Source organism: Homo sapiens, chromosome 20 (assembly GCF_000001405.40).
Source record: "Homo sapiens chromosome 20, GRCh38.p14 Primary Assembly".
Taxonomy (NCBI): domain Eukaryota; kingdom Metazoa; phylum Chordata; class Mammalia; order Primates; family Hominidae; genus Homo; species Homo sapiens.
In genome coordinates this window covers 33,272,936-33,282,719 of record NC_000020.11, presented here as the reverse complement: position 1 = coordinate 33,282,719, position 9,784 = coordinate 33,272,936, and the positions used below count along the sequence as shown (strand labels likewise).

Sequence of the window (9,784 nt, the reverse complement as noted above, 5' to 3'; positions counted from 1 at the left end):
CCTCATCTATAGCATGGGGATAATAGTAGCTCCTCCTCATAGGTTGTTAAGAGCATGAGTTGAAGTGCATGCCTACACAGTGCTTAGCATGGGCTTTCATTTCATTCATTCATTCATTCCGCAGCAATTAAAATCTGCTCTACCTTGTCTGCATCTTTAGGAATCTCCATGAGCACTTGTGGACCAAAAGAATAAGGAGGGATGACCATGAACCTAAAGGACAAATGTCAGAGCCCAGCAGGACGCTGTCATCCACCACCTGGGCCCAGGTCTTGGCTCACGCAGCCTGCACAGTCACCCAGAGGTGGGCATCAGCAGCGTTAATGTTACAGAGGGCACCTGAGGCTCAGAGAGGCGAGTGACTTGCTCAAGGTCACATGACCAGGGATTCCAGCTTTGGGACCTGAACCCGATCATCAGTCCAGACCGGACCCTCTTAACCGCCACACTGTCCTTCCCCTGAGACTTCAATTTAGCACTGGAGGTGGTGGTGACACCAACATGGCCTTTTGATGTCATCTGGGGAATTATCCTTGCTACCCAGTTTTTGTCTAGAAGAATGGAATTGTGGTTTAGAGCTGGGATGGCCATTGTTGAATCCTGTCTCCATCTGCAGCAGACAAGTCAGGGGCAGTAAGTGTTCTGAGGTCACAAAGTACGTGGCCAGGCCCTGGCTGGTCTCTTCCTCCTGCTTTTTGACAAGAAGAACAAGGTGAAGAGCGTTTGCTGTCCTGCCATGTTTGCAAACACACCAAAAGCCCTGAATACCTAAAGGTGAGGTGTTTTGAGAGAGCTCTTGGGAGGACCCTGCCGATCCCTTGGGCACATCTCCAGAGAGGCAAATGCCCCTGCTTGGCTTCCCAGCTGGCCATGCCCACTGCCCATGGACAATGACCCTCTGTGCGGTGCTCGGGCCCAATGCCAAGACCTGGGGCCGCATCAGCTCCTGCTTCCTGCCACGTGCTGGGACAGCAAAGCTGGCTGCATCTCTGCAGGCCCATGGTCCCCAGACTCCACACCTGCCCTCAGTACCGCGTGGCCCCTCCTCAGGTTGCTGGCGTCTCTTGGCCTTGGCTCCACCTCTCTTCAGCTCCCAGGCCTTTTTGTGCCGTGTCCTCTTTCTGGAGTACCTCCTTCACCCTCCTGAAAACCTAATTGTGCCCTGTCTGGGAAGAAGCGCAGGAGTGCAGGAGGAAGCCTGTGGAGGCCGACAGACACGGCTCAGATTCCTGCTCCTATACTGACAGCTGTCAGCCTTGGGAAAATTGCTTCTTCTCTATGAGACTGTTTCCTCCATTGTGAAATGGGACTATTTTGAGGGTCTCGTAAGGTCATGAGAAATGCTTGAAACATCAGAGAATTCAGCAAGTGGTAAATTCACACCTGTAATACCAGCATTTTGGGAGGCAAATACTGGTGGATTACCTGAGGTCAGGAGTTTGAGATCAGCCTGGTCAACATGGTGAAACCCTGTCTCTAAAAAAAAAAAAAAAAAAAAATTAGACGGGCATGGTTTTTAGGTGGCACGTGCCTGTAGACCCAGTTACTCAGAAGGCTGAGGCAGGGGAACCACTTGAACCCAGGAGGCAGAGGTTGCAGTGAGCCAAGATCGCACCACTGCACTCCCGCCCGGGCTACAGAGCAAGACTCTGTCTCACACACACAAAAAAGAACGCAACATCTGCATAAAGCTGCCTGACTGCTGCTCCACCTGGCCTGGATGTCCTCTTCCCAGCATGTTTGGCTGCTGGCCACCTTTCAGCCCTCACCTCTCTCTACTTCATCCCTCGCTCCTCTCACTCCCACCCCAGGGCCTGCGCACATGCTGGCCTTATCCCAGGAGCGCTCTCCTTCCAGCTCTCATTCTGGCTTCTTCTAATTCACCAAGTCTCAGCTACAGTGTTGCCTCCTGGGGTGGGGTGGGGGAGCAGGGGACAAGGGGACCACCCTCTCTAAGGTAGGGCTCTTTTTGCTGCACACTGAGGGTGTCCTTACTAGCATTTACTGGAACTGGGTCTGAAAACTTGAGTGTTGTTTTAGGCACCATGATTTCCCAGATGCTGTATACCAAGGAGAGGTCCTGGGCCACAGACCAAGCAGTGGCTAAAAACCAGTTGCACAGCTCCTGCATCTCTCATGCAGGGGGCCCTGACCCAGATTAAGGCAACGAAAGGGCCAAGAAGGGACAGGAAGAAGATGGCAGAGGTATTTCTTGGGAGACAGCTGTGGTCCCTCCTCCTCTCCCAGGGAGGAGGGCAGGAGGTGTTTGGGCCTCAATGCAGGCCTAGCAGGAGGGACCTTTTCAGGGACCACTTAGGGGCTTGAGGTTTGTCTCCCCTGGAGTTGGGGCTTGCAGTAGACTGGGTTGTGTCTCCTGATGAGTTGAAGTCATGTTGGGCAAAGTGACTTCCGTAAGTGGAAAATTACTGCTCTCTGTTCCCTCTGGGCAGGGTCAAAGCGCATGTGTGTGTGTGTTTTCCCAGGGCCGGGTGTGGACCCTGCAAGACGAAGATCGGTCTAGGGCTGCTTGAAGTCCTTCCTAGTATCACCACCTGGAGAGGACGCTAGAGAACCAGGGGCTGGGAGTGGCTGGGGTGGCCTGCGGGACAGTTAGCCATCAAAGAGGCTCTGCCCTGGTGTGGGGGGTGCAGGTCAAGAAGCCCCACAGGGAGGTAAGACTACCTCTTTGAAGGTGCCGACAAGACTTGGCTCTCAACATTTTTTGGGCTCCCCAGAGAGTTGGGAACTACCTGGCAACAATATCAGTCAAAGGAAAATTCTCCTGCCCCTTTTCTTCCTTCTGGATGGAGAGAGAGAGAGAGAGAGAGAGAGAGAGAAAGAGAAGGAGAGGGAAGTGCAGGGAGAGAACACACACCTCTTCTCCCCTTTCCCACCAAGCTGATCCACAGAAGCCTCGGTTAGGGGTGGGGAGATAATCTGATGTTAAATCAAAGCTGGATGCTCAGACACAGCAAGATGGCAGAGTGGAAAAGATCATCTCCATTCTACAGATCACCAAACTGAGGCCAAGAGAGGAGAAAATAGGGGTTTTTATCCTCCCATTTTCCAGATGAAGTAGGACCTTGGAGAAGGGAATTGACTTGCCTAAGGTCCCACAACCATAAAGCAGAGGGCCAGGATTGGGACCCATTTCTGTCTGAATTGAGAGCCCATGCTCCACGCACTGACCCAGCCTGCCCTACCATCTCCAGCCAGAACGAGGGCCAAGCTCTCCTGGGAAGACTGCAGTCATGCGGAAAACCAGAGAGGGTTTCTGATGACGTGGACAGATGGAAATCAGAGGCCTTGCCAACTGTCACTGGCTCGAAAGAAAGAAGGAAAGCAAGAATTCAAGCCACTCCTAAAGAAGCTCAGGTCCTCCATTGTTGCCACCAAAGATGCTCCACCAGCATGGTAGAAGCATTTTGCTCTTGTACCAATTTCAGCTGCCTGGTGATGGCTCTTGAAGCTTTCAAGGGTCTGGGCTCAGCAGGAGAGAATGTGGTGATTGATTAACAATGTCGGTCATGAGCAGACACAGATGCTTCATCCTTGCTACATCCCACCAGCATCCTTGTTAAGGATTATGGATTTTCTTGCAAAATATTAAAGATAATGGAGTGGGGAGAAAATCCCTAGATGACATGGAGTTTGCCACTACCTTTGGGCTGGTTTTGGATAAGTCAGTTCTCTCTGAGCCTCAGTCTCCCCAGCTATAGAATAAAGATGTTGGGCTCCACGATGCAGTGGCCAGGCTGGCTGTGATGACCTTTGCTTATAGTGGAGGGGGCTCAGTTCTTATGCAATGAGGACTGGGCTGTTTCTGAGGTCAAGTATGTTGTTAGGAAGATCAAACCCATTGACCCAGGGTCAGTGGAGGTTCTGCCAAGGGAACTGGCCAGTGATTTGAGCATAGAGAACTGTGAGGATGCTCACTGCAGCCTTACCTGGAATAGCCCTAAAGTGGGACCCGCCTTAACATCCAGCAATGGGATTTATTAAATAAACCGTGGGCCACCAGGCAGCCATCACAAAACAATGTAGACCAACCAACAGAAGTAAGTGAAAAGGGAAACTGTTTCTTCTATTTTTTAACAAAAAAAAATTTTTTTTAATCTAGAAAAAAATACTGGAAGGAAATGCATCAACAGTACACGTTTCTTGGTGGTGTGATCACAGGTCACTTTCACCATCTTCTTGGTATTTTTCAGAATTAAAAAAATGTTTACACTAAATATATGTATTGGATATGTAAACAACCCCACTAAATGGCCTGCAAATGAGTCAATAAAGGTTGGGCGCAGGACAAGGGAGTGGAGGAAACCTCATTCCTTTCCCAATGCCCGACCCACAGCCCCCACCAACCTGGGACTCTGAGGAATTATTGTGATGCCATTGCTGATAGCAGCAACAAACGCCCAGTCATGCCGGTCCCGGAACCACCAGGAAAGAAATAAAGAAATCATTACTGGAACTTACAACATAATCCCTCTTTTGTGGGACAGAAATAGATTAAATTCAGTGCAAATGAACCCTGGCTAAGTTGGAAGCTGTCCTAGCTCTTGGGGGGAGACAAAGACCAGATCTCTGCCCTCGTGGGGCCCACAGTCCAGTTGATGAAGGTGTGTTGGGTGACCCAACAGAGGTGGATGCAGGCAGCCGGCTGAGTGCTGGGATTTTCATCCACGTGGGCAGCATGTGCGTAGGCTCAGAGCTCCAGGAATGGGAACCCAGGCAGGGTGATGTGTTGCTTTCACTGCCGTGAGCCTTGGCCAAGTGTGCAAAGTACCAGGATAGAGGTGACACAGGGATTGTTATTAGGGCCAGACGAGCAATACAAATGCCAGGGTGCAGACAGGATGGGCTTAATAAGGCCAGCACAGGTCAAGTATGTCAAACAGTAGAACAGGGGCAAACACACAGATGGTATGGTCAGCACTGAGAGAGAGGGAGGCTGGCACCTGCCTCGTGTGTGACAGTCGCTGGCAGCTCAGTGGGGCCCAGAAGGGGATAACCTGCCTGATTAGGGAGGGGAAAAATGATTTCTTTCTTTCTTTCCTGGTGATTCTGGAACTGGCATGACTGGGCTTTTGTTGCTGCTATCAGCAATGGCATCACAATGCTTCCCTGGGGAATAGTTCAGAGAAGGCTTCCTGGAAGAGGTGACATTTGATCTGGGCTTAAGGGATAGGGATGTGTTAGGAGGGGAGGGCATTCCAGAGTGGGAGCCTTTCAGGGGCAAAGGAAGGAGGGTGGGTTTTGGAAAGAGTGTCTGGGAGCTTGCCTGAGTCGCTTGAAGGGGAAGGGAGTGGGGCGGGTGGCAGGGAAGGTGGGCTGGAGGGGAAGGGAGTGGGGCGGGTGGCAGGGAAGGTGGGCTGGAGGGGAAGGGAGTGGGGCGGGTGGCAGGGAAGGTGGGCTGGAGGGGAAGGGAGTGGGGCGGGTGGCAGGGAAGGTGGGCTGGAGGGGAAGGGAGTGGGGTGGGTGGCAGGGAAGGTGGGCTGGAGGGGAAGGGAGTGGGGCGGGTGGCAGGGAAGGGGAGCTGGAGGGGAAGGGAGTGGGGCGGGTGGCAGGGAAGGTGGGCTGGAGGGGAAGGGAGTGGGGCGGGTGGCAGGGAAGGTGGGCTGGAGGGGAAGGGAGTGGGGCGGGTGGCAGGGAAGGTGGGCTGGAGGGGAAGGGAGTGGGGCGGGTGGCAGGGAAGGGGAGCTGGGGATGTTCTCATGAGGAGTCAGAACCAGGGGCTGGAGGTGAGATGGGATTGGGGATGGGAATGGAGCACAAGCAGGGCTGGGGTCCTGAGGCCCTCAGTGCCTCCCAGAACGCTGTGGGCTGTATGGAGCCTCCCCCAAGGCAGGGGACAGTGTGCTCAGATCCTCAAAACCAGGCCTCGGGTAGCCTGCTTGTCTTCACTGTCTGGCTTTCCCAGAGGTCTCTGTCTTGCTCTTGCCATCCCCTTCTCTTTCTGTCTCTCCTTCCCTCCTCCTCAGGCTGTCCCTGCCCTGTCTCTCTCTTACCCACTGTCTCTCTCCTCTCTCTGCCAATCTCTTGGGTGCTTTCTGAAGCTCAGGAGGGAGCTGGGCGGCCTGTGGAGAGTGCACCTGGACACACTACGCGGTGACCCGCCCCTACTGTGTGGCCTCAGGCAAATGTCCTCACCTCTCTGTGCCTGCAGTCTGTGCCTGGCAAAAGGGGCTCTGGGCCCCAGCTGTCGGCCTGTGCTGTGCCTGGCCTTGACATGGAAACCACCCAATCAGATGAGCAGGTCCTCTTTCCAGGCCCTGCCCTGAGCATGGTGTTAACTCACTTTGACTTCACAATAGCGGTGCTGCAGGGGACAGGAGCTGGGACATACTCACAGCACGCTCACTTAAAGCAAAGCGGGGAACCCCAGAAGGAACTCTTGACACTGGGATTTCTGTGACTGGTATTGCAGTTGCTCTGATTGATATCATATCATATTGTCTAGCTGTAACTAGATAAAGGAAGACAGGAAGGGGTGACTTACAAAGTTCAGCTGTTGTGAGAACCCTCACGTACCAGTGTCTACCTGTCCTTGAAAACGGTGTGACTATTGAGTGGGGGGCTTGGGAAATGGGCAGGTCCCTGGGAGATGGGGGAATCACTGGACCAGGCCCCTGGGGGCAGCTGAGTCCCTCAAGTTGGGAGCCTCAGTTTGGGGTGCTTGGAGGTTTAACCTCATCTGCCCTCAAATGGCCATCCTTGGAGATAGATTCTTGAGGCAGCCCCCACCCCCACCCCATCTCCAGTCTCTCCAGGTCAGGAGGGCGGGAGAGGTTCCACTAGCAGCCCAGGGCAGGGCCAGAGAGGCTGGAGCAGGCTAGAGCCTAAGACTTTGCTATGTTGCAGGGCTTGTATGATTTTAGGGGTCAGTCCCCCAGTATTTCTCTCCCAACCCTCTAATTTTCTTTAGTAATTCAAGACTGGTGGCACAAACAGATGCAGTCGGCTAGCAGGTCAGTTAGTCAGTCAGCAAATGCACCTTACACACCCTCTGTGTGGACACAGAGCTGGGTGCCTTGGATATAGCAGGGAGCCCACAGATCAGCCCCTGCCCTCCTGGGGCTCACAGTGTCCTGGGGAGACAGAGACGGAGGGAGAGCAAGAAACAGACAAATAAATATACAGTCACAATGTGCGATTATCTCAGTCATGATGCGGAACAAAAATGAGAACATGTGTAGGATCCTGAAACGACACCATCAGAGGCTCATGAGAGGTTTCAGCCTCCTGGGAACGCCCTGGATGCCCTCCCCCAACCAACACTCAACACCCCTGCCACACACACACACACACACACACACACACGCACACATACACACACGTGACCCTCCCTCTATTCATCTTCCACGCATTTGACTTTGGAACACAGTTTTGGGGGCCAACAATGTATGAAAGGAAGGGAGCTTTATGAAATGTATAATATAAATAGCCCTACTATTTCTTTTTTCTTTTCTTTTCTTTTTTTTTGAGACAGAGTCTTGCTCTGTCTTGGAGTGCAGTGGCGTGATCTCAGCTCACTGCAACCTCTGCTTTCCAGGTTCAAGTGATTCTCCTGCCTCAGCCTCCTGAGTAGCTGAGATTACAGGCGTGTCCCATGATGCCCGGCTAATTTTTATATTTTTAATGGAGACGGGGTTTCACCATGTTGGGAAGGCTGGTCTCGAACTCCTGGTCTCAAGTGATCCACCTGCCTCGGCCTCCCAAAGTGCTGGGATTACAGGCGTAAGCCACCGTGCCCAGCCAATGGCCCTCCCATTCCTGAGTGCTCACTACCGGCCTAGCTGAGCCTCAGACCTGCAGGTCCACTGTTATCCCCTATGGCACAGAGAAGGAAATGGGGATACAAAAAGGCCTGGTAACTTGCTCGAGGTCACACAGCTACTGTGACAAAAAGCCAGGATATAAACTCGGGTCTATCTGACTGCAAAGCCCATGCTCTTCACCTTCGGCCAGAATCTCCCAAGCACCTGTCATTTATATACTGTCCTCACCTACCCCTGACAACTACCTTTAGCTTCTCCATATCTGCCAATGCCTGGGTTTTTATGGACTTAGCATGCATCTTGGCAAATGAAATAACTTTTGAAAACTCAAATAAATTTGATCTATTTCTTTTTTCTTTCTTTCCTTCTTTTTTTTTTTTTAATACGGAGTTTCGCTCTTGTTGCCCAGGCTGGAGTGCAATGGTGTGATCTTGGCTCACCACAACCTCCGCCTCCCAGGTTCAGGCGATTCTCCTTCCTCAGCCTCCCGAGTAGCTGGGATTACAGGCATGCGCCAACACGCCTGGCTAATTTTGTGTTTTTAGTAGAGATGGGGTTTCTCCATGTTGGTCAGGCTGGTCTCGAACTCCCGACTTCAGATGATCCGCTTGCCTCGGCCTCACAAAGTGCTGGGATTACAGGTGTGAGCCACTGTGCCTGGCCAATTAGATCTATTTCTAACAGAAAACTGTGTATGCTACCCAAAGTGAAAAAAACAATATCACTTGCCATAAATAGCCAGTGATGATGGGACTATAGTGACCATAATAAGGGTGGCGATTAAGCTTAATGATTACTTATCATGTGCCAGGTTCACTTTTACTCCCAAGAGCACTTGGCACGTGATAAGTACCCATTAAACTCGTCGCCCTTATCATCATCACTATAGTCCCATCATCACTATAGTCCCATCATCACTGACTGTTTATGGCAAGTGATGCTGTTTACAGAGGTGAAATGCCCTTTCCAAAGTCACAATGGAAACAAGTAGAAACATTTTGTTGAACTCTGGCTATCAAATGTTGCCTACTTTCTTTCTAAGGGGGAAGGTAGCGAGTGGTTGGAGAGGCATTGAAGACATTTCAGCACTGTGCCGAGCCTTTCTCCGTGATATCTTCAGAACAACTGAGAGAGAGTAGGAAGGTGACTCATTTTCTCACCACCACCAATGGCGTGGTAGGCAGCCAACACTTGCAGGCAACCCTCAACCAAGCTCTCTAGGATGCATCAAGAATGCCTTTGCTCTCTTTTTGAGAGTGTGTGAGTCAGATTAAGATCTCTTACCGTGTCCACCTGCGGAGGCTCCCAAACCAAATGAAGTGAGTTCTCCAAACCCTTTGTACCTTTCCGGACTGTGTGACCTCCCTGGACTGTGAATGTCGTGTTCTTTGCTTGTCCTGATTCCTGGTGGCCAGGAGGGAAGCATGGGGCAACCACAGGGCACCTCCCTTGAAGTTGTGCACAGGGGTTGGGTTTCTGCACTAATATTTACTCACTTAATCAGCAAGTCTCCCAGGAGGGGAGAAAGAGGCAACGAGGAGCCCAGCCCCATGGAGTGGGGGAGCGAGGACACCCACTGAAAGGTGGGGCCATCACAGATGCTCATCCACTGTTTTCCTTAGTGTTGGAAAGGAGCATTCAGGACCGCTGCTTTCCCCAGCCCCCCTCACCTTTCTGCACTTTCAGCATCTGCTGCTCCTGAGAGAGGCCACTCCTGGGTTTCCTTGCAGGCTAGGCCTGACTTCTGATCTGTCTCCCGTCATTCCTCACTGTGCCCCTCGTCTCCTGAGTCTCCCAACAAACGATGCCTCTGGCTCTCCCTCCTCTCTACCCCACTGCCCTGGCCTCCCCCCAGGCCTCCTCATTTCTTGCCTGGGAAAATCGCCACAGTCTCCTCACTGGCTTTCCTGAATCTCATCTGGGCCCCTCAAATTCATTTTCCATCACTATAGCCAGCACCATCTTTCCTCCCTCCAATAGTTTACAATGAAAAATTTCAAACA

The 9,784-nt window shown here is 52.0% G+C and overlaps 2 annotated features.

Moving 5' to 3' along the window:
- Window positions 433-933: an enhancer, noted in NCBI's record as "H3K4me1 hESC enhancer chr20:31869593-31870093 (GRCh37/hg19 assembly coordinates)". NCBI's record gives its function as "activates a minimal SCP1, AML or CMV promoter by ChIP-STARR-seq in primed H9 embryonic stem cells {active_cell/tissue: H9 hESC(primed)}" and the evidence as "EXISTENCE:reporter gene assay evidence [ECO:0000049][PMID:30033119]".
- Window positions 934-1,434: an enhancer, noted in NCBI's record as "H3K4me1 hESC enhancer chr20:31869092-31869592 (GRCh37/hg19 assembly coordinates)". NCBI's record gives its function as "activates a minimal SCP1, AML or CMV promoter by ChIP-STARR-seq in naive H9 embryonic stem cells {active_cell/tissue: H9 hESC(naive)}" and the evidence as "EXISTENCE:reporter gene assay evidence [ECO:0000049][PMID:30033119]".